This window comes from Homo sapiens, chromosome 4 (assembly GCF_000001405.40).
Source record: "Homo sapiens chromosome 4, GRCh38.p14 Primary Assembly".
Lineage (NCBI taxonomy): Eukaryota > Metazoa > Chordata > Mammalia > Primates > Hominidae > Homo > Homo sapiens.
In genome coordinates, this window is record NC_000004.12 from 110,986,033 (window position 1) to 111,011,524 (window position 25,492).

At 34.7% G+C, this 25,492-nt stretch overlaps 1 long non-coding RNA gene across 1 annotated transcript; it reads right to left on the bottom strand.

Annotated features, from left to right (window-relative positions):
• Positions 1-212: 212 nt before the first annotated feature.
• Positions 213-24,426, bottom strand: LOC105377364 (uncharacterized). The gene is made up of 3 exons (XR_001741518.2): positions 24,283-24,426; positions 16,162-16,293; positions 213-272 (listed from the first exon to the last, which is right to left on the bottom strand). It is a non-coding gene; the product is annotated as an uncharacterized LOC105377364 (long non-coding RNA).
• Positions 24,427-25,492: the final 1,066 nt, after the last annotated feature.

Sequence of the window (25,492 nt, forward strand, 5' to 3'; positions counted from 1 at the left end):
AACCTAAAGGCTTCTATTTAGTTGAGTCACTTTTACTGAATGAGATGGTTGTGTCACCTACATCTGACAGATCTATTAGCATGTGGACCTCAGACACTGATGGGGAAGGCAGCAGGGGCCTATATTCCCACATACTTATCTGAACACATACCTTTTATTTAACTAGACCAGCAACAAATATTGAAGCATCTTTGATGAGCCAAGCACTGACTTGGGCACTGGGAATACAGTGATGAAAAAGACAAAGTCGCTTCCAGTAAGGGTCTTACATTCTAATGGAGGGAGATGATGGATAGAAAGATGAATAAATAAATAAGACATTTTCTGGTGACATTTGTCATTTAAAAAAATAGGGAGATGTGATAAAGACACTGACCTCATTCCTTTGAGATTGAAATTTGTTACATATGAGGCCTATATGCTCCAGAAACAGAATGTGTTCTGATCACTGAGAGTAATTATCTCTCACCCTCACAAATTTGTGAGACAGGTGGAACAAGACAGAAATGATTCCCACTTTTCAGATGAGAAAATGCAGATTCAAGGATTTGGGGCATCAAGTTGTAAAAGGAATATTGAAATACAGATGTTTTGGCTTTGAGTTTACTGCTTTCTTTGTGATACCAGAAAAATGCATGTACAATAAATTGAAAATGCTTATAATTCTTTTCAAAAATCATCCTATATATTCAAAAACAAATACAATTATAAACATGCAGGAGTTAGAACCTCTTAGATTTCAACAGGATCCAGGAAGATTAGGTTTGCACTTTTTTTTTTTTTTTGTAAATATAATTGTTAGTTTATAGTGGATGTTAACTACATTTTTGGGAAAAATGTAAAGCTTTATATTATCAGTCAATCTTCTGTAATGACATTCTATTAGGTTGTGAGAAATTATGTGTTTTAATATCATGTTTTAAATGATTTTATTTTACTACTGTTATTCCATATTTTATGTTAAATATTAATATTTGCTCAGAGAAAGTTGTTTATACAATGTTTTTTTGAGGCTACAGACAGAGATTTTCCTAAACAGAAATAAATATTTTAAACTAATACCTTGTAAAATTTCATTTTGGAAACATGAAACCATTTGGGGAATATAATTGTGCTATTCAAGGTTGTTGGCTAAGCAACTCAAAAGCCAGGATTTCTTGTTAACTAAATGCTAAAGCAATAGATAAAAAAAAGTATGATTTCTTTAATCCCGCCTTTTTACTTGTACTTAAACTAGACAACAATTCAGATCTGTAAGACAATTTTATCTTTTAAGCTCCGGAAAATGTTGAGTCATTGGTATTGCTGCTAATTACATGTAATAGAATTTTGAAATGTAATTTCCAAACCTTTGGATTGTGGTAAAATTAAAGAGAATGTTAACTCTGAAAAATATAAAATTTCTAAAAAGGACACTGTAATATCCTAAGCTGCCTTCATCCCAGTGTTGTAGATGTAAGCTCTGGGTTTAGAAATGCTATTACAGATGTTAAAATGTATAGTGTTTATGATGATGATGGAGAGTAATTTTATGAACATGAAGCAATTGAGAATCAAGAATCAAGTGGCTTAATATTGACTTTTATTTGGGACTCCCGGACCTTTGGTAATCTTATGCATAAACTTTGAGGAAGTCAAATATCACAGGGAGTATCTAAAATTTTTGTCTGAAGGTCTTTTTGTTCTTAACTGTCAGAGAATATAAAAAATCAGCTGTGGTATTTTCAGAACTATCCAATTTCAAATGCCCTTTTATTCAGTGCTTTTATGACCAGTTGCTTGACAACATATAGATATAGTTACTTCATGTGAGTGTTCCTGTGCTGTTGGCGTTAGTGTATTTTTCTGGACATATGCTGTTGTACAGTAGTTCCCGACTTATAGATTCTAAACTGGCTCTAGTGCTTTGCATTGTTACAGATTTAGAAACTTTTGTAACTGAAAAATATTTCTCCACACATGCTTTTGGAAACATATTTTGAGACAAATATTAGTTACTAGATATATAATGTGTGCTGGGTGTGCTTTAATAGCCATTCGGTATTCATTAGACATTAAACATACTATGTATAAAATTAAGCTCTTAAAAAACCTTCCATTTTTGTATTAATTTGAATATCTAAGAGTAAATTTTGTTGCTACAACCTGAAAAGTTCAAAATATAATTATTCTAAAATATATTTTTAGTGAAAGAATATAATTTCAAAACAACATATACTTTTATAGTAATTACAACCTTTAATCTCCTCTGTTGATACTTAAATAAATTTTGCCAATTTAGGCAGTATTGGGAATATAGCTATACATACACACGAGTCATTCTTCTGCATTTATAAATTTCTGTAGGATATTTTATACATAGTTTATACATAGTTTTATACATAGTTTATACATAGTAAAAGCATACTTTTATAGTATCACCACATTATATGTCCAACATATGAAGCACATTCGAGAAACATATCCATGTAAACATTTTTTCACTGTATTTTGTTTATTATGTGGTCTTAGTTATTATAGGAGAGAGAATAGGTTAATAATATAATAGATCAAGAAGAGTAGCATAGGATTAATTCAACACAAACATTCATGTAAATGACTGAATTTAAAATAACCACTTACTAGATCTACGTTTAGCAAATACCTGAAAGGCAAAAGTTTAGACTGTTAACTTTGTGGAGATAGTGGCTCTGAAGACAGTTTCAGGTTAAAGTAGTTGTATGTTTGAACTAAAAACAATGTGCATAGGAGTCCTATGCAATTCTAGGGGATTATTATTTCCTTTTAAGAAAAACACCGCCCTGTGGATCACCACGTCCAGATTTGTACAAAGAAAAACTAGTTCAGGGCTGAGACTGAGAGCTGATACATTTCAAGGAGGACTGGGCAGCTGCACTTGTGAGCGGTGACAGATCTCTGTGAAATATAATCCTGATTAAAAATGCATGTGTGAAACCTCTTCGAATAAAGCTCTGTGTCCAACAGCATTTTCAGAGCTCCTGCATGTAAGAAGGGAAGACTAATGTAGCTACTCTTGTACTATTCACTCCATCATTTGCTGGCTGTTTTACATTTCTGAAATTATCTCTTACTGTAACATTGAAGTAGGCAGAATTATTTTTGTTTGTTAAAAAAGTCATTGATACAAGTGAGTTTAATAATTTAGAAATTCACTGCACACACATACATGGACTTTTTATAAATATGTCAAAATCAAATAAATACAGAGTGATAGAAAGTTTTGATGTAGATGAACACCAGTGACTATGATATGTAGGCCTCCACTAGTGCTGTGTCATATAAAAAGGCATTTGTGCAATTACTTCATACAGATTAGCAACTCTATTGTTGTGACTGTATTATTCTTGCGGTGCCAAAGCTGTAATCAATTATTGAACAATTTAAGTGTGTTTGTAAACTAATTTTGTTTTTTGGGGTCCAGATTTGAGGGAATTAAGGTATAAAGCCTGGGAATCTTCTAAAATAGAGATGAGATATATCTGTCTAGTTAAACATAAAAACAAATAATGCAACTATGGAGAAATCTGAGCAAGGCAAATTGCCTTGTGTTCCAGTTATTACAACTGTGTGTAATTTTGATCCTAAGATTATGGCCTAGATGCCTTATTATGGCCATGTCCTTTGTTGGGATCTAAAATATGATCATAAACCATGCAAATGTTCACTTCTTTAAAACCTTAGAAAATAAAGATTTGAGGAGGAAATCAGTAGAGTGACACAGAGGAGTAACAGAGTATAAGCACTTGTCTGGAACTGCACATGTATCTAGCTAGTTGTATAATTGTTATATATATGTATATATATATATATATATACATATATATATATATATACACACAGATATAAACATAGATAAATGCACCCACATATCTATAATAAATATATCAGGAAAATATTTATTGAGCTTCTTCCATGGGCTCTATGACTTTATGATGGGTATAGCTTTCTAGGTGCCCTAAATATTTATTTTTAATGGCTATATTTTTAAAATCTTATCAATACTCCCTGAACAACATCTCCCCATTTCCCCTACTCCCAAACCCTGGCAATCACTATTCCACTTAATGATGATTTTAATAGATGAGTGTTTTATTTGATGTCATTTAGAAAAAAATGATAATCTGAAGTTTTCTACATAATAACAAATTCCTGCTGAGAACATTTTAAAATGTAATTCACCAAATAAAATATAATTCTAAATTTCCATTTGTAGAATGTGTGTAGAAGGAGTGGCCTGTGCGAGTTTCTTTATCTTGCTTTTTCCTATATGCCTCAGTCTAGTGCACTATGAATATCTGGTAGTCTGCAGTTCTTCACAGGAAGATATGAAAATTAACTCACAAATGCAATGCATCTAACATATTGGTACCAAGTTTTTTTTTTAATCATGTAATTATTAAAGTATTCAAGATTTTGAGTTCTGATTTTGTAAAACCTGATGAACAGGTGATAGGAATAAGTTTGTCTTCTTTTGAAGGGACATTCATATTTTAAGGGACGTTTTAAGATAAAATGCCCATCTATAAAAAAAGTCTTCCTTCCCATATAATTTTTAAAAATACAGTGGGACTTCAAGTTAATATTCGCACTTAAAAGACCTAGGTAAGGCCAGGTGCAGCTTTACTATTTATGCCTGTAGTAAAGCTTCAAAGCCGAAAATGTTATTAAGTGTAAGCTAACTTCTCTTTTTTACATATTCAATTAACATGTATTGAATAGTTATTGACAATGTAAGTTTGCAGTTACTCAATTTTAATTAGAGTATTAAAATGGGTACTCTCTGAGGGACAAATAGTGGTGTTTATTATCTCTAAATTTGAGATTTCAACTTATTATGCCTTAAATTTTGTCTTCCCTAATATTTGTGTATATTTTCAATAATATCTATTCTTCCTTATAGGAGAATTAATCCTATAAAAAGATTCCTTTATAATGTAGATGCATAAAGAGCAATACTTATTATATATTGTCATTTTCCTAAAAGTAATAATTTTTGAAAAGTATATTATATATAGTTTAATGACAATATATAGAACATAAGATAGTGGATGAATTTCTACCACAAAATATGTTGCAGGTACAAACCAATGAATAAAAATTACTGTCACTGAACAACAACAACCAAAAGCTTTCTAAAATATTTAAGACCTTGGATATTTTTTTCTAATCCCTTGGTGCCTTTTAACAAGTGAAACTATTTTTTTTAAATAAGATTGTCAATGGCTGTTTTTTCAGATTTATTGGGGGCCCCATTTAGCTAGAGTAACTGTCTTTTGTGTTTTAACTGTATAAAAAGCTTTCTCATGTATTATTTTCCTAGTACACATGTTCACACATGAAAATGCATGCAGAGAAGTTCGCCAAAGTGAAAGGCTGATCACCTTCATGTAAAATGTGATCCTTTATGTCTGGTGCAAATATCAAATGAATAAAGCGTACATGCATTTTTCTTTGCTGATATCCTCTTACTAATGAATGCTTAGATAGTAGAAGTGAAATGTAATTTATCTTCGTCATTGTGTATATTTTACTTTATTTGCAATTAATTCTCTTGCTATATTACATCTATGTTAATATATGTTTTCTTACAAATTCTAAGGAGAGTACTGACTTTAATTTATTTCCCATCTTGCAGTTAATTTAAGCAGGGGTTTAATACCAGTGATCTCCTTTCTTAGTAACAAATACACATAGTGAGTGTTCTGAGATTAGTGTATGAACCCAGAATTCAGAAATGGGTTTTTATTATTCCTTTTGATTTAAAATAAATTACCAATTATTAGCTTAAAAATTCACATTGAGAATTAGTAGTCTCAGATTGCTATTTAATTCATTCCTGTTATTTTAAACTTTAAATTACTGATATTAATATTAGCGTTTTTGAGCAACATTTCTAGGGTAAACAGGTTCTCTAATATTCATAGTCTGAAATCACTGTGTGTATATATATGTATGTGAAGAATTAAAAAAAATTTATGTGGAAAATTAAAATCTAAATATTTATAAAAATATTTGTTTTTCATGATGTTACTTCCAGAGTTCTATAAAGACAGTTACATGAATTTTTGTGTATATTAAAATAGTGACTTTTAATTACAGTTTCACAAATAAAAATTAATAAGATAAAAATCACTCAATAGATTCACTGACAAGAATTGTCATTGAATGTTATTAGACATCTAACATTTGACATGTCAATTGTCATCCCCTTGAAAAAGATAATTTGTAAAACAAGTCTGTTTAGGAAACAGAAAAGAAAAAAACTGTAACTTTTAAACCAATTCTAGCTCAATAGGAATAAAATCTATTATGATTATAAAACAGTCACAGTGCTGGAAGGGAGACAGAAGAGGTAAAGAGAAGTAAAAATGTTTCGAACATTGAAAAATCCTTTATTTTAGTGCTTATAATCATATGTAGAGTGCTTCATTTTGAAGTGCAATTTAAAATACTAACTGTTGTGACAACTTGGGGTGAAAGTTCCTTCTGTATTTTATACCTGGACAGAGGATACATGGGCCCGTCCTAGCTATAGTTTTTATTACAGGTCTTCCCAAGAAAGAGTTTGGAGTTTCCTTTTTAAATCCTCATCCAGTGATGTTTTACTTATCATACAGTACAATATCATATGGTGTCTTCAGCAAACAGAATGTAAAAAATTCAAGAAGCCCTACATGTAAGAATGTGAATGTTGACCCTTATTTCTGACTGACCTTGCTGATATACCTTCCATATAAAGTAGCTATGGGCCTTGCAAGGCTTCTAGTGACTGTTATTTGAATAATAAATGTAGAATCTAGAGAAATATGTTTTTTCTTAGCATTAACACACAGGTACAGCAAATGGTAACACGCCAACTGGCCCAGAGTCCTTAGTTAAATCATCAGTTTGTTAACTGCTGTTTGCAGGGTAAACCCTCCCTCTGGAATGAACTTCTTTAAAGCAAAATGAAATAAAATAAAGGTAAGTAAAAGTAAATAGATTTTCCTATTGAAAGTTATTACTTCAGGAATGAAGAAGATGGATATTGATCGGCACCATCCTTTGCCATTACTGTCAGGTCCACGCAGATAGCTAAGACACTTTATTCTAAGCAAACAGCCATTTTCTCTTCTGACATGGGATTCCAGTGAGAATTGAAAAAAGTAAAAGGTTGGTAAAAACATTTTTCTGTCCTTCTTACAGGGACAATTTATGTTGAAGTAACAGTTTGTGAGGTACTTGCACTTGTTATTGATTTATTTCTTCTTTGTCATGAACAATCTCCTGTTTTATAATACAGTTACTCTTGTATACTGTTCCTAGGCAGTAATTTAGAAATAATTTTCATTGCAACAATGTCCTGAGGGGCTCAAAATATTGGAAGTATATGAATAAAAGAATAAACATGTGTAAACCTTTTCTAGGTGTTATCTAGGTGTTTTTAGTACATTGATATTTGCAATATTTGTTTTTAGCACTAATAAAAGACACAATATCATGATGAGCTATTGTCATAACATCGCAAATGGAATTCTAAATCCATGAAGTCCCCATGGCTTTTGGTCAAATAAACCCTCCAATATGACCTTGGGAATCCATGGACTGGAAAACAGAAAAGAGTGTGAATAACATAATCTTAGCGTACTCAGGTTATAATTTATTACTATCAGAGACTGGCTAAGTCTCTGTTGATAAGAAAGCAATTCTGAGTGAAAAATCTAGTAAACCTGAAGAAAAACTGTTGTTTAAATCAATAAATATCTTTGAGATATGCACCTATAAATTTTCCCACTAGTGCATGTATAAACATCCACTTTACTCTCTGTGTTCACCTATACAGTATACAATTGTTTCCTCCAAAAAAAAATCAATATGGCTGTGATTCCGCTATAGTTCATTCACTGTTTATGGATAGGGATTAATGTTTGACCTCTCCTTGCCTTCTTGACTTGAACCAATTACTTTAGAATAATTTTTCTGGTTTAACTTTTTATCACGTTTTCTGACATTTTAGTGAATAATATTTGACAGCTATGAACATCTGCAAAAGTTATTGTTATCATAACTTGAGCTCAATGGAACTACTGTCACTGATGCTCTAAAGATCATATTGCACTGCAGAGTATGAACACACTTACATTAAAAATTTATTTGATTTTTCAGTAGGAATCTTTGCTTAGTTTGCTTTAACAAAGGCAGACTGTTTCAAATTTTTTTTTGAAAATGTTACCTGAAGGTGGGAAGTGAATTTGCATTCTGTACAGGGGAAGTCTCAAAGTCTCTATTTTTCATTCTGGAATTTTATATGTTACTGTTATGCAGGAAACAGCTTTTAATCTTCTCTATCTCTGTCTACTTTTTCTTAAATGAATAAAACAAAAATCTTTGGAACATGAACACTGAAACCCAGCTTTGTGCATCATAGGTTTGTGAGTAATTTCTGATAAAAGTATTTCATTTTAGTGTCCTGATTTCTTATTCAGTTTGCACTCAGGGAAACTGGTATATTGCATTCTCCTTGAAGAAAGCCATAGAGAGAGAAAATGCAGTTAGTCATTTATGTGCATATAACAATATAAATTGTAAAGATTAAGGGGAATCATTTTGGGGAGGATCACAATTTTGCAACTAAACGCACTTAAATAATTACCTTTTTAAGCAACTTTTATTGACTATGCAGCAGGATAAAAAGTAATCTTACTTGTTTTAAATGGCATAAAGCAACCAAATGCCATTAGCAGAGTGTTACATTTCTTATTTCACTAAGATTGTTGAAGCTTACCAGAAAGAGATAAAAAATGTATAAATTCAGGAACACTGGCTAGTAATATCCCAAACCATTGTCAGTGGACTCCTACTTTCTCCTGCCAAAATATGTGGAAGCATGCATGGATTGTACTAGATTAGTAAGAGGGGCTCGTTTCCGTGGCATTAGCCAGGTATCTTAGCAACAAGACCATACCAGATTCTAGCAGTGCTCTGTGGTGGTGCATGTAATATCCTGGACATAATCTGTCTTTTAATTTTCTTTGGATTGTAGTGATATTACAGATACATGTGTTCAGTTATAGATCTTTATTTAATAAGAAGAATGCCTTAGCTGAAGATTTGTACTATGCCAGGAGTGGGCAACTCACAATAATGTTGCTGGCGTTTTAGCCGAGGTACTGCCTTGTCTCGCATTTCAGATTGACAGGAAAACTTACTCCCTTCATTAAGATGTGCCTCATAGTTCATATCTTTATGCTGTGGAGATGAGGATGCTGCTGGAATTCATAATACTAAGAACGTTATTTAATGTCAGATAGAATGCAAATTGCTCGTACAATTGAAATGTCATCTAAAACATGCCACCGTATGCAACACCACTTTATTATAAGTCACTGAGAGCAATATCTTAAATTTGGAATTGCACTAATCCTTCATCTGCTTTGTTTACCTTTCATCTATAATAGAGATGTCGAATTTCCTCCAAACTGGATTTGCATGTTTTAACTGCTTGCTCACATAGCTGAATATGTGTGGAAGAACCATATAGGGGTACTTCCTTTGATTTTCTTGTCTTTTTGTTGTTTGTTTAATGCAAATTAACAGCAAAAGATAGCTTTCAAATATGAGACAAAATGCCGTGTCAACCCTTTTGGGGAAATAAGCTAAAGCTTATGAAGGAACATTTGATTATTTAAAGGACAAATTATAATACAAATATGCTGTCGGTTTATTGGTAATTGATTTTCTTGGTAATTTAGTTTCATGCAGTATTTTCTTGCATTAATTGAAACAATAATTTTATAAGATTAATTTTTTTCACAGTGAAATTACATGTGAGCTATTTAAGACATTTGTCATGCTTGCTTGGAGAAAGTGTCCAGAACAATTGCCATCCAAAATAAAGCTATCTTGACATAAAAAATGTTGTTTGTATGCAAGCGTTCTTACCTTGAGTTCTAAATATTCATTCAAGATGATGGCTTATCTTTTATAGATCAGTTTTCAGTACCAAAGAAGTCCCAGGACACCTCTTGAATCTGTAAATTCTAGGGTTTTCCATAAATAATTACATTTTTACAGAGATGAGAGTTGTAAGAAGGAAAGTAGGAAGAAAGAAGAAAGTCCTTAAAACCCCACTCTTTGGGTCTGTCCCCTCCTACTCAAGATCCCCTCTTCTTGCAGCACAGCTTTTCCCAAACGATTTAGGCTCTTAAATGCTTAGTACCTTTTGATAGGCTGCAGTGAAGATTCTGTTTTGTTTGCTTCATATTATATAGTATTTTCGTTGTTCATAACAGAGTATTCTAAATCTCAATATGCATTTGTAGGGTCTTAGAGTTGTACCTCAAAAAGATTATTTCTTGGTGATTATATTTGATATAAAACTTATGTAAGAGTGCCAGGACTCCCAAAGTTCAAACTCTTCCAATTAGATAAATATCTTGGTTTTTGTTTGTTTGGTTGGTTGGTTGGTTGGTTAGTTGGTTTTTTGAGACAGAGTCTCAGTCTGTCACCCAGGCTGGAGAGCAGTGGTGCTATCTCAGCTCACTGCAACTTCCACCTCCCAGGTTCAAGTGATTCTTGTGCCTTAGCCTTCCGAGTGGCTGGGATTACAGGCACACGCCACCACACCCAGCTTATTTTTGTATTTTTAGTAGATACATGGTTTGGCCATGTTGCCCAGGCTGGTCTCGAACCCCTGGGCTCAAGTGATTGCATACCTTGGCCTCCTAAAGGGCTGGAACTACAAGCATGAGCCACCGCACCTGGGCCCTAGTTAGATATATATCTTATATATCATTTGGTATAAGAATCTGTATAAGGCTACAAAAAATTATTTGTATTTATGAAGACATGCTGTGACTCCTTGCAAGGAACAGCCTAAAGTAACCACTATGATATGGTTATTGCCATAATGCTATAACATTTCCTCTAGTTTTTAAAAGATCTCTAGAGCTGGGCCGGGCGCGGTAGCTCATGCCTGTAATCCCAGCACTTTGGGAGGCCGAGGCGGGCAGATCATGAGGTCAAGAGATTGAGACCATCTTGGCCAACATGGTGAAACCCCGTCTCTACTAAAAATACAAAACTTAGCTGGGTGAGGTGGCACGTGCCTGTATTCTCAGCTACTCAGGAGGCTGAGGCAGGAGAATCGCTTGAACCCAGGTGCTGGAGGTTTCAGTGTGCTGAGATCGTGCCACTGCACTCCAGCCTGGGCAACAGAGTGAGACTCCATCTCAAGAAAAAAAAAAAAATCTCTGGAGCTATTATACAACTCTCAAAGAGTTGTCTGAAGATTTCAAGACTTAGAATCACTTGATATATTTATGAAAAAGTTAGATTCCTAGGCCTTTGCCCAGACTCATTATGTAAGAGTCTCTATGGGTTTAGAAATAGCTCCAAGTTTTTCTTTGACACATTAGAATTTGGAACCATTAATTTAAAATAATGAATGGCAATTAATACAAAGCTTAATTTTCATAATAAGGGTTAGTTTTGGCAAGTTAGACCATGTTATGTTTTATATGTGTGTGTGTGTGTGTAGGTTGTGTAACATATATGATATAAATATGTTACACATATGTAAAATTGGAGATTTTACCAAAAAATAAGTTGAAACATTGGGCTTGGGATTTCTTTTAAAAAAGTCAAAATTATGTAATTTGTCATTACATAATTTGAGTTATTTTCATTTTTGCCTTTTTTTTTTTTTTTAGAGACAAAGCCTTGCTTTGGTAGTTCACTATAATCTCTAACTTCTGGGCTGAGGCAAGCTTCCTGCCTCAGTGTCCCAAGTAGCTAGAACTGCAGACACATGCCACCATGCCCAGTTAATTTAAAAAATTTTTTTGCAGAGATGCTATGTTGCCCAGGCTGGTCTTGAACTCCTGGCCTCAAGTGATCTTCCTGCTTTGGCCTCCCAAAGTGCTAGGTCTACAGGCATGAGCCACACCACCTGGCCTTGCCTAGGTCTTTTAAGTGAGAATATTAACTTGAAGTTCCACTGTATTTTTAAAAATCACATGGGAAAGAGGACTTTTTTATAGATGGGAATTTTATCTTAAAATGTCCCTTAAAATATGAAAACTCAGACATGTATTTTATAAATACATAATATAAAAATATAAATTTTTGCCTTCCTTGATGTAAAAAAAAAGGATGAAGATAAAATCAAGAACTAAGTTTTTATTCTGTATTTGGTCTGGCTACTGACTTTGAAGTCAAGTTACATTTTTGTTTCTCCTTGCACAATTCTCAGTAACCAGTCTTGCATTTACCAACGTCTTGGGTCCAGAAGCATCCCGGGGTTTTGTGTAAACTAAATATAGAAATCAATTTAGCCAACTGTGAGGTATAATCATCTCTTGGGTGTAAAATGACATCTGGTTCTTTGTGTCATCTGCATTATATAGCCACACTAAAGAAAAAATGACACACAGAAAGACAAAGATAAATTCAAATTCATGTCAACATAATGGAATTCCCAGGCTGATGATATATGACTGATGATTAACCCAACAATTGGCAAATGGTTTAGTAATAGATGCACATAATTCCAGAGACTGACAAGCCAATAGCTGGTCTCAGGCTCAGATATACATGAACAGTTATTCTGTGCTACCTCTTTGTAGGTGTGGTGTACCAAGATATAATCAAATACAGAAATGTTTCTAATGCTTACCTCAGAATGTCAAGCATTACTTAGAATGATGTATCTGATATGCAACTTGGTAGTTTATCATAAAATACTCTTTTTAAAATTTGAAAAATTGCTACTATTTGATGTCTCCAAAATGTTCATTATAACTTCGACGTTTTTCATACACAACAGTTGTACCTCTAGCTACCTTTCTTTAGAAACTATGTTATTATCTCAAATTCAGCCTTTCTAAAATCAAAATTAATGTTTTCCTCTGAACACAAGATCCTATTACTGATTTCTCAGTTCTGTTGCACCACTATTTTCCCTTATTACTTGTGTTCAAAGCCTTTCAGGGATGTTTTGGTACAGTACATGTGCTAAAACTTCTAGTCATTTTGCACATGATATCATTGTGAAACAGGTTTATTTTGAAAACATGCCATGGATACATTGGGAAAAAAACACCTTTAGTTCAAGATATCAAACCAGCTTTCTCAATACCCAATTAAATTATACATCCTGCTTCTAACCACATAAAATGAGAGAATATGACACTTTAGGAAAGATTTGATCATCTAAATAAAACTAGCAGCAAGGAATAGAACATATAGTGGAATTTTTACCTGAAAAAAAATCAAGACCCTATTTCTCTCTTGATGAGGAAAGAGTTTCTGATTTTATAGAAATCATCTGTTTACACCACAAAAGAATATTTTATCTTTTAAGCCATTGTGCATCAAGGTGAATTGAGTTTATCTTTTTAAAAAATGTGGCAGGGTGATTTTTTGTTTTTTTCCCCACTTCTTCCTGGTGATTTTCCTGGGCACAGCCTACACCAAGAATCGGATTACCGAAGCACCCATTGATGATGTAACCTAATGTGGAGACTCTTGGAATCCTGGGGAGAAGACAAAGAGATGAGAGTGTCAGCTCCCCAATTTTAGAGACCTGTATCAGATGAACTGGGGAAGAGAGCTGGAGAATTTGAAGAGTGGAAAGCACACTTAACTTTCTCCTCATGCTCCATCTCAGACTCTGTCTGAATTGGAAGAGATAATTAAAACCAAACAATAAAGATGTTCTCTGTATGCATCTGGGTCCTGGCTAACAGGACTTTGGTTTAAAAATGGGCCATACAACTGTTTTTCTCTACAGCAAAGGACATGATACTGGAGATAGAATCCTCTTCAGGATAGAATCCTGGAGGGCTATTTCTCTATATGGCAATGTTATGTTTTAGGTCATGCCCCATTACAACAATGTTGACAAGAAAGCTCACAGAAGAGATTTGTGAAGGATAAGGAGTTAGTAAGGAAGAGCCAATTCTTGACAGGGCTGATATTTACCTCCAAGTGTCATCATGAATTTGAATATTGCTAATATAACATTTTCCCATCATAATTGCAAACACTCTGTTTTTACAAGGTAGCAGGCCAGACTGTTGGAAATTGGCAAAATAAGATGCAAATAAGCACATCCACATTTTTGGGGGCTGCCATGACAGAAGAGGTTCTTTCATACACATCTCATATTTTGCAGAGTAGTTTGGTCCTTTCTAGCTTATCATCCTTCTCATGTGTAATGGGACAGAGAGAGTTAGAGACAATTAAAAAATCAATGAGAATCCTGTTACTAGAGAATTCACTGCAGCCCTACTACTAGAGAACTGAGAAATCCCCCAAATCAGTGACTGCAAATCACCAACAAATCCTGAGCACTTCTTATGTGCCATAAATTTGCCAAGTGCTTGACATGATGTATGTCTTTCAATCCTCATCACAATTCTGTGAGATAGAGACTATTAACCAATAGGTTTGGTGAGGTTAAATAACTGTGATAAAATCATTCAGCAGATAATAATAAGAATACTTATCATGATAAAGCAAACAGTTGCATAGAACTTACTGAGGACATTCTACTGCTAAGTGATCAATACATACTAAAAAGTTTAAACCCACAGCAACCCTGTGAGGTAGGTTCTATAATTACTATAATTATTCTTGTTTTTATAGATAATTAAGTTGAGGCCTGGAAAGATTAAGTTGCTTTCCCAAGTCACAAATCTAGTAAATGGTAGAATTAGGATTCAAAATTAGGATTTCAGGCCTCACAATCTGTACTCTTTACCATGAAGCTATGGGAATACATTATAGAGCCATAGATCCAAGGCAGGAAACCTTACCTCCCAAATCCAAGCTTTTGCCGTCAAAACCTAAGTGTCTGCATACATAAAAAATAGTTACAGAATGAATAAGACCTACTATTTGATAGCACAACAGGGTGACTATAGTCAATGATAACTTAATTGTACATTTCAAAATAACTAAAAGAGTATAACTGGATTGTTTGTAACAAAAGGATAAATGCTTGAGGAGATGGGCACCCAATCCTCTGTGATGTGGTTATTAAGCACTGTATGCCTGTATAAAAACATCTCATGTACCCTATAAATATATAAACCTACTATGTACCCATAAAAATTAAAAATAAGAAAATTAATAATAAAAAACCTAAGTGTCACCCCTTGAAACACAGCTATTGATATAAACGTATTGTCTTTTTTTGTTTTTCATAGTTTTGACATATTAATGTAGATATTAAACATATTCTATTGATATGATTTATTCTCAACAAAGGATTGTGATTAAAGCAATGGAAAATAAGGACACAAAGATATGAGAAGGCAAGCACTTTGAGATGTTCATCTCTCCATTATTTTGAGCCTTTAGGTCAACTTCTTTTGAATAAATGTGTAGGTTAGTAAACTGAGTGAACTATAGAAAATTGCGTTATTGACCTATTTTTGTGTGTGTGGTTATACCACTTAACAAGTAAGTGATCTCCAAGAAAATCAGTCCTAAGTCAAAACATACAGTATTGAGTAAATTAATGTGTCTTTACTACTGGTGGGCAATAATGAATATTCTGCTAATCTTTAGAATTATTGCAATCAGCACCCAGCACTACATCGCAGACTTCCTTCATGACTTAATCTTTACCTTTAATCTGAAATTGATTTTACATTTGTAATTATTGGTCTCCTATGTGGTTTTTGGCCTTTACCAGCTATGCAAAACAATAGCTGGCTACTAGAAGGCATTTTATTATAATCTTACTATTTTTACCAAGATTGAATGGTAAAAATATGTCACCACTATTATGATGTCATTTTAAACTTGAATAAGCTTAGACCACTTATTGAAAAATCCTGGGTAATTTTAAATTGATGTTGACATTAAAAAGGATTGCCTATAATGATAGTGTCTTGTAGCTTTAAGTAGCAGTCTGAAGTAAATCTAGTAATAATTATGGTTACATCTTGATCACTTGCCTTTTCCTCTTTATTAACCTTGTAAGGAAACATATTGTTAGAGTCATCTTTAATCCCTACAAAAAATTAATCCCCTTCCATCCCCTCTTAGACCTTAAAACAAGAATAGAGAATGTGAGTTCAGTGCTTGAACTTTTTTCCTGGACAGATTCCCACATGGAAAACTGAGGCAAGTCTACTAAAAGCTAAGTACCTTCATCACACATCAGCTTCGAGGGCCTTCTGTTACTGTCGGTCCATCTCTTCATCTCTCTGGGGAGGAGCCCCAACACACACAACCCAGGGCCTGCTGGAACCAGCCAGTGGTAGAGCTGTCAAGGCCAGCCTATTTGAAAAGAAAATAATGAAAGACAAAATCTCATCAGCTAACCTGAATTTCTGATCCCCGGAGGGTGCTCTAAGAAAAGTTGGAAAAGATTATGTAAAATAGCTCTCATATGTTAGGCAGGAAAAATTACTTATTGCCTCTAAACTGAAAGATTGTAAACAAAGTTTCCTATTTTTGCAAAAAAGAAAGATCAGTTGCATCAGATGCTGCTTTCAAACATAGCTTCTATAAAGTGCCATCAGGTTTAGATTCAGCCACTTGTGTCCAAGAGAGAAGGGGAGAAATGGGAGAGATTTATCTCTCTTATCTCTAAGCCTCCTTCTGTGTTGGGCAGCACCCAAAGCCTAAATAGATAGGATCCCTTATCCAAAACCCACACTTCTGCCTTTTCATCCTAAAAGTGAAACAAAACAATTTGGCAGTGCAATAATCAAAGAAACAGTAATATTTTGTAAAGAGTTGACTATGAAAATGTGACCAAATCAGTATTTGTTTACTGTCTCCCCTTATTAACAACATGCAGTTTATGTGTAAATTAAATTTGTGTAATTCTCACCTTGACTTTGAATGTGTTTCATAGTTATACCGATGCTGTTATTAATTTTAACTTATTACAAGTTGATGGTTTGTATGTATAAATGTTACAGACAAAATCAGTGAAATTTAACGTATGTGTGACCTTTAAGTGGTAATTGTGTATATTTTTTCACATATTTTAAAAGTTGCTAAATAAGTATGATAAGCTTAATTTCTTTCTCTTTCTTTCAAACTCTACCTAGCCCAAGCCTCACTATTATTTTGCATCCTTTCCTGACCAGTCTAGTCCATAGACGTCTCCTTTTTGTAAAAAGCTCAAAGAACAGTCGTTTCTAAACATTTTGCTATGAAGCAAGTTAATTTTTACCTTTTGTAGACCCTACCTATGCTTCCAGATTTTATTTAGCAAAGATGCATTTACTTCGTCATTTGTTTCTTCAGTTTCTATTTTATGGGTACTATTAACCAGCAGTAGACAATAGTGGCATTGATCTGCCAAATTTGATGAGAAGAGCCAGGTCTGGGATTTGGACTGAGTGAATGTGGGCAGATGTGGTACAGGTGTTTGGAGGACACAGAGGCTGAAGTCCTCGGACTCCGTAGCAGAGCAGAGCAGTGTGGATTAGGGCTTGGACAGAGAGAGAGCGAGCTGATGACTGGAAGTGTGTGATTGCCAGAGATGAGTGGGAATGCTGCATGAAGCCAGGAATGGGCCAGGAGCTGGATCACGCATTGTCAGCATAGGATCTGATTCCAAGTGAGAGGCAAATAGCACAAGAAGTAAATAGAGAAAAATTAAGAGCAATCATATGTCACCTGTATATTATTATATAATTCAACCATGGATCCATTCATCAAGAAAGTGCCCTTCCTTATGCCTGCAGTGTCATTCCTATTTGGGTCTTTAGGGGATCCTAAACAATTTCTGAAATAATTTTAGCTAAGTGTCTGTCTCTGGTAAATGCACATTAGCTTTTAAAAACTATTAAAAATAGTAGACATTTATGAAGAATCACTGTGCTGCCTCTTCCTATGAGAAGACTATTCTTCCCAGTCCCAATTTCCCTTGTCCAAGGAAAAGGAGTGAAAAGAACATGTGCTATTTCTGAACAATAGCTTTAAGAGCTCTCTTGTGGCTCCACCGTGTTATGTTTTCCATTTGCTATAAAACCAGCAAAGTTTTAGGTAGGGAGTAAAAATAACCTGGAACAGATATCATGTTGGATCCCAGGTGGACATGCAATGTGAGTGAAAAATCCACCTTTATTTTGTAAGTCGCTGAGATTTTTGAGATTGCTTGTTATCATGGCATTGTTTAGCCTAAGCTGACAAGTATACATTGTCATTGACATGATTGTTTATCCTGGAGGTCAGTCAATATTTGTATGGCCTTTGCATTTTTTATATAGTGTTTTTAAATCTTATTTACCTAAATTATATGTCCCTTGAGAATAACTTTAATATCTCATTTTTTTTTGTTGTTTGATCCACCATTTAAACTGTAAACCTCTGAAATAAAGAATTTTAAAATGTGTCAAGGTTAACCAGTGAACGAATAACTTAACATATACTCCATTGTAGTAACTGTGAGTGATACAAACATGTCAAAGAAAGTGCAATTAAGATAAATATTTCCATATTGACAAGTCTATGGTAATTATCAATCAATTCATCTGTTTCTGATAGTAAAACAAGCGATACTTGCTTTCTTTAATGAGACATCTGAAGGCACAGTGTGCATTTAAAAACTATAAATATATTGTTGAAATTATAAAGCATCACACTTTTAACTTGCACTACTGAAGACTGCCTAATACGGCACTTATTGTACACATTTTCAAGAAAAGAATTACTTTAAAACTAAAGTAGGGGAGGTTTCGAATGGGAAGCTTTGCTGGTAACCTCAGGATATTTACTACATTTCTGAGGCTGACCCTCACCCTTGATGTGAGAAAATTAGGTTTAATTTTCTATTGGCTGATAGATTGAAAAGAATTATAATTATACCAACTGAAGTATGATTGAGGATGCCAAGTTATTTATTTATAGAAGAGAATAGCTATGTTCATGATCCTTACTCCTGGTACTCTTATTCAGGAAAAGCCAGGGACTTGGAAGTACATACAGTTGGAACTAGTTGTTTGAGATTTTTAATGAGAAGTACATATCATGTGGCCATTTTATTGAGGTCCCAGTTGGAAGTAATGAAGTGTCTTTGTCCTGTATTAAATAATAGGTAGCGGTAGAATGCATTTGTTGGATTCATCACTGTTCTTCCCTTTTCCACTAACGTCGCTATCTGAAGTCCGTGTTCAAGCTGGGTCACCTTTTCTCATTTATATGGCATATGTATTTTTTCTTTTGATGTACTCATGTTTCCGTTATGTTTGAAGAAAACATTCTTGCCCATCAGATGGTAGAATTGCCTGATAAACCAGTATTTTTACTTAATAATCGAGCTCTTTGTGGAGAATATCCTCTTTTTATGTTTTCTGGTTTGTAAGAAGTACTTCCCAATTGCTATCATGTACTGCTTCTGAATAGTCTTGAGGCAACATGCAGGTAACTGTGAGAAAAAAGTACTTTGCTTAGTTTTGAGAAGACCTAGGTTCCAGACCAGGCTTTAGATTGTATTATCCGTGTGACTCTGATTAAATTACTTATTTTTTCCAAGGCTTGGTTTTCTAATATATAAAATAGAAGTTATGTTATCTTCATCATAGAGTGGTAAGGATAAATAAATGCTATGCAAATATGGGCTAATATAAACATAGACTCGAGGGAGCCATTAGATAGCACAACCAGAGCTCTATGTGTTCTTAAACTTCTCTCCTACAGCCTAGACTGTAGTGGCTGGACCATGTATATAAGGAATTGTATCTTCTCCTGGAAAGGTCCTTGTCTTCCTCCCACCATCTGATTCATAGTCTTTCACTGCAGTTTGATGAAAAGACCCTTAGGAGTAATTTGGTCATGGTCTGTGTCCGTGTTTACCTCAGTCAACATAAGATACCCCAAAACTCCCAAGTCATCTTTTATGCCTTAGACTTCCATGCCTATATGGTTCTGTGTATTCCATAATTTGACTCACCCCAACACTTTCAGTCATTAGCAAAATCTTCGATGTCAGAGGTAGAAAACATTATTTTTAAAGGGCCAGATAGAAAATATTTTAGGCTTTGGGAGCTGAGAGACAAAATCAAGGACATCATGGAGGTATTTCTATAACCATTAAAAATGTAACTATTTAAAAATATAAAACCTATTCTTAGCACCTGGACATAAAAACAGGAGTTTGGCTGTCTGACCACAGCTTGGCGACCCCTGCTCTGTATCTTCAGTTTCTTCACGAAACTTTCTCTGCCGCCTGTTGGTTTATGTGGACCCTGGCTCTCCCCAAGCACTGCTCCCTGAGCACACCTCTATGTGTTGTCCCCATTAACGATGATTTTTTTCCTTCTACAACCTTCATATCACCATGCCTGGAGGTAAAGGTAAGAGTCTTCCTAGATCTCATTGCTGCCTGCAGACCATTGTGACAACCATCCTTCCCTTTCAAACATTCCTTCTCAGAAACATATGCTGCTCGATTATTCTACCTTCTATTCATTCTTGCCATAATAATCACCAGATTTCTGAGACACTACTTCCTCATCTCGTCAACTTACAATCATAAGTAGATCCTATCCGTTACTTTACCATTTATCCTGCTCCAACACAACTCCTGTCATAAATCATTGTGATTTCGATATCTATGCAGACAAACCTTTCTAGCATCCTGACTGCTCAGGTCCTTGACCTCCTCATCTGATTAACTTGTCTTCCAGTGTACCTTAGTCGCTGTAGCTATGCTTAGATCTTGGTGTTATGAATTATTGCACCTTTTCATAATCTCAACTTTAAGCACTCCAATCTCAGACTTTTGCATGCCTACTTCATTCTCACTCTCTCTAGTACTTTAATTCCAAAATGCCTTTCTTTCTAGTTCCTATTTTTCCACTGTCCATCATATCCTTATCCTCACCCAGCTTAGATGCTGTGGTCCATCATTATACTGACTTTCCTGCATACCACCTCAGCTATTTGCTCATCCATTATCTTGGCTTAGAAAAATCCCAAGCTTATTAAATTCAACTCCTAACTCACTATTCAGCTGCCCAAGCAGCTGACTTGAGCTGAAGAAAACCATACAACCAGGTTCTTGTGTCTCTCATTAAGTTCATGACCACTAATCTCAGGTGGGCTCTTAGTGCTGCCCTGTAACACTCCTCTTTATCCTTAGGTTCTGTACTCCTCTCCTAGAAGATTATTTCACACCTTAAAAAAAAAAAAAAACCTCTCTAATTTCCCACGTCTTTCTTCTGCCATCTTTCAAAATATGACCTTTTTTCTTATTTCATTGAAATAATGGAAACAATCAAAAGGCAATTTCAGTGTGCTTCTGCAACAAATCTAGCAACCTGCACACATCAGTCCCTAAACATTCTACCTTCCCTCCAGGTAGAAACTATACATTGCCTTTGCTCCCTCTAAGGCTAGCCCCTCTTTCATGCATTGTGTTCCCCATCATATCTTAGGGACATTGTTTCTACATTTGCTTTGTCTATCCCGTATCAGATTATATCCATCTGCAGGAACATTCCCAATGTTATACATCTATGCTTTAATATCACACATTATAGAAGAAAGTCATTTGGCCTCGATATACATCCAGATACCTCCCAAGTTTTCTGCTAACTTTTATAAAAAATGACCTCAAAAGATTGTATTTAATCTCTCTCCACTTTTACACCCATTCTCTCTTTAAGATACTTCGTTCTGGTTTCACCTCCAACCACTTCACAGGCACAGCTTTTGTCATGTTGTGAAAGGGCTCCATATAGCAAAATCCAGTGGGCACTTTTATTTTCTTATTTCACTTACTGGGAAGCAGGTTTTGACACAGCTGACGATTTCCTCCTTGAGACATGCTTGACCTCTGGAATACCACTCTCCTTTCATGATCCTTTTACCTCATTAGATGCTCCTTCTGGGCTTGTTCCTCTTTATCTTCACATCTGAACATGGTAGATATCCAGGGTTCAGTCTATGTACCTTCTGTACTCTCTCTTTCTATATTCAGTTTTTGGTGAACTAATTCAGTTAGTTTAGCTTTAAATGTCATTTATACACTATTTCCAGAATCACTTCCTTTGAATTCTAGATTCTAATATCTTACTGCCTATCTAACATGTCTAGTTGGATGTCTCATATGAACTTCAACTCTAATTTGTCCAAGTCCAAGTTATATATTTTATCCCAAATCCCACTGCTAAAACCTCCTCCTCATGCAGTACTACCATCTCAGTAAACCAGAATTCTATTCATCCAGTTGCTTGGGTCAAAAAAAAAATGAGGCTTTTTTGACTCTTCTTTTCCCCCTCACACAATCTAACACAGTTCTGTTGATTTTACCTTCAAGTTTTGTTTAGAATCTCACCAATTCTCACTATCTCCATCTCTCATATCTTAGTCCAAGGTAGCGTTATCTCTTACCTGAATGCTTTCAGTTGTCTAAGTCATGTTTTTTTTCTTTTTTCCACCCCAATTTCTCTATAGTCTGTTTTTGAAGCAAAAAATATTCTATTAAAATATAAGTCACAGACTGTTTTTTTTCCTGCTTAAAACCCCAATGGCTTTACATTTCTATTATTTCTTTGAGAATTTCTTGCCTTCTCTATTTCTAATAGTAAGATGCTAGAAATCTTAGCTTATTCCTTCATGTTTTGTTTCTTTCTTTCATATTTGGTGTCATTGTATTTTTCTCTATAATCTTGGATATTTCCTTGGCTTTATTTTCTTGTCCATTAATTAAAAATTTTAATTTCAGAGATCTTAGTTTCACTTTCTACAAACTTTCTCAGAAACCTGTATAGTTTCTTTGTAGAGCATTCTATTCTTATTTTGTAAATATAATGCTTTCTTGAAACTACATAAATGTGAATTCGTGAATTCTTTTTTTTCTATTTTTAATTGCCTGTTTATTCTATGATCATTTTCCCGTTTAATTTATATAGATCTTTCTCCTTTATGCTGTTCTTTTTTGTCTGAAAAATCTTGGTTGTCTGTTTATAGTCAATCGAGAAGTATTAGTTAACTAGTGTGCATTTTCTCTGCTAATAGGTAAATGTTAGGTGTGTCCCATGAATGGTAGACTTGGAGCTCAGTGTGTGGCTGGACATAGTTTATTGACTGGGTGGCTTAACTTTAAATTGAATGAGCAGAGGAGAGCTATTAGGTCTCAGGTCCCCCAGAATTCCAAACAAAGTGCTTTATTCTTGGCAGACGCATTCACAGCAGAAACCTTGATTTAACCAAGTAGGTCTACTCAAACTCTTCAGAAAAGAATCCCCTGGGGATTTTACCAGAGGAGAAACACTCTGAATTTTTCATTGCTGCCAACTGGGGGTACTGATTGGTGAATTGTACCATATACAGATCTTCATTTAACATCTTTTTTTCATCCTCATTTGTTCTTGACATAACTTCATTATAATCCCTCACAGCACATCTTGAACTTAAACTGTTTTGTATAGTTTCAGCCATCCATTAGCTTTCATGCTTCTTTTACTTTCAGAAATGAATTAAAGTGTTTTCTCTACTGATGACTCAATTTCCTTGCTTTAATTTCTCCTTCTGGTTATAAATTTTTTATTTTTATTGTTTATAGTTCTACAGCTTAGTAGGCATGACCAGGTTTGTGACATGAAAGAAACAACTTTACCTGTCCATCTGTTGCAGAGTTTGTGCTATTTAATGAGATCATCATATTTTCTCTGTGGGTTTTCCATTTTGATGAACATATAATTTCCTTAATTTTTTTCTCCCAAATTCTGGAAGGGCTATTCACTTCATCTATATCAATTACAAAACCAATGTTACTTGTGTCTAATGCAGGAGTCTCTAACCCCGGGCCATGGACTAACACTAGCCCACCATAGCCTGTTAGGAACCAGGCTGCACAGCAGGAGGTGAGCAGTGGGTGAACCCGCATTACCATCTGAGCTCCGCTTCCTGTCTTATCAGTGGAGGCATTACAAGCGTGAACCCTATTGTGAACTCCACATGCGAAGGTAGAACAGTTTCATCTCCAGACCATCCCCCACCCTGCACCCCTTGTCCATGGGAAAATTGTATTCCACAAATCCCATCCCTGGTGCCAAAAAACGCTGGGGACCGCTAGTCTAATGGAAATTCATTTTCATGCAGAAAATAGTGTTTACAATGGTTAGTATTAAAAATCGGTATAAAGATGAAATTGAATGGGCAAGATTTCAGTTCCACAGTATTTGATAAAAGTTTCTTTCTCTATGGAACATGGCAAAATGTGTTAAGGAGAAGAAAAAAAGGCTTGTTTTCCTTTGGTGGCATCATGATGATTACTTACTACGGGACATTTTCATTACTTACATATGTTTGTTGCTTTTTGATTTGTTAAGTGTATGTGATTCAGCATCATTTTCTCTAATGCAAGATGACGAGAAAACCCTCAAACCACAGTGGGGTCTGCTGGGATAGCCTCTCGAAGTATTTGCATTTGTCAACCAAGTGTGGCATACTAAAAAGAAAAAAAAAAGGAGACTTTTTTAAAATAATAAAGTAGAAGTAACTCATCAATACTTTCAACAATAAATGCCAAAATTCAGTTTTCCATTAAAAGGTTTTTGTGAAGTTGAAGAAAATTATTTCATTTTAATGGTTTTTGTATTTTGTAACTTTAAAACTATTGGCAGATTTTAATTTTTTCCCTTAGAAAAGTTATATGTAGTTATTTCACTACCAATTTGAATTTACAGCGTATGCTTACTCTAATTACAAATTACTTTTCTAATTTAAACATTATGATCACTATATTCTTAGCATCTAGTAAGGTAGATAAATAGAAATGAATTTCAGCGATTTAGATATAATGTTAACATTCACACTCCTCCAATATTATTCAGATGACTAAGACATTTAGATTATCTTAATTCAATGGTATCTTAATGTTCATTAATATAGTTTTGTCACAGAGTCCAGCTGTAATTACTTATGTAATAAGTGAGTTAGTTGTAAAATATGTAATAAGTGACCGGGCATGGTGGCTCAGGTCTGTAATCCCAGCACTTTGGGAGGCCTAGGTGGGCAGATCACTTGAGCTCAGGAATTCGAGACCAGCCTGGGCAACATGACAAAACCCAGTCTCTACAAAACCATACAAAAACTAGCTGGGTGTGGTGGTGGGCGCCTGTAGTCCCTGCTACTGGAGAGGCTGAGGTGGGAGGATCGCTTGAGCCCAGGAGGCAGAGGTTGCAGCGAGCCAAAATCACACCAATGTACTCCAGCCTGGGTGACAGAGCGAGAGTCTGTTAAAAATAAAAGTACTATATGTCCTATTTATAAAAGAATTGTTTGGAGTTGCAAACATATTAAGTTATAACACAGATGGATTTGGTGATTGAATTTAATACACGGTGAGCAGGCCATTTTTACACAGGGCTAATTGCAATGCCATTTGAAGTAAGGAAGGTCCCCAAAAGTTAGGCCCTAAAGTCGTGTATTAAGCACAAAAAAGTAAGAAGAGGGTTTTGCAAAGTAAATTTTTGAAGGGGTAAAATCTCTGTTTTCTCTTCTTCTTAGC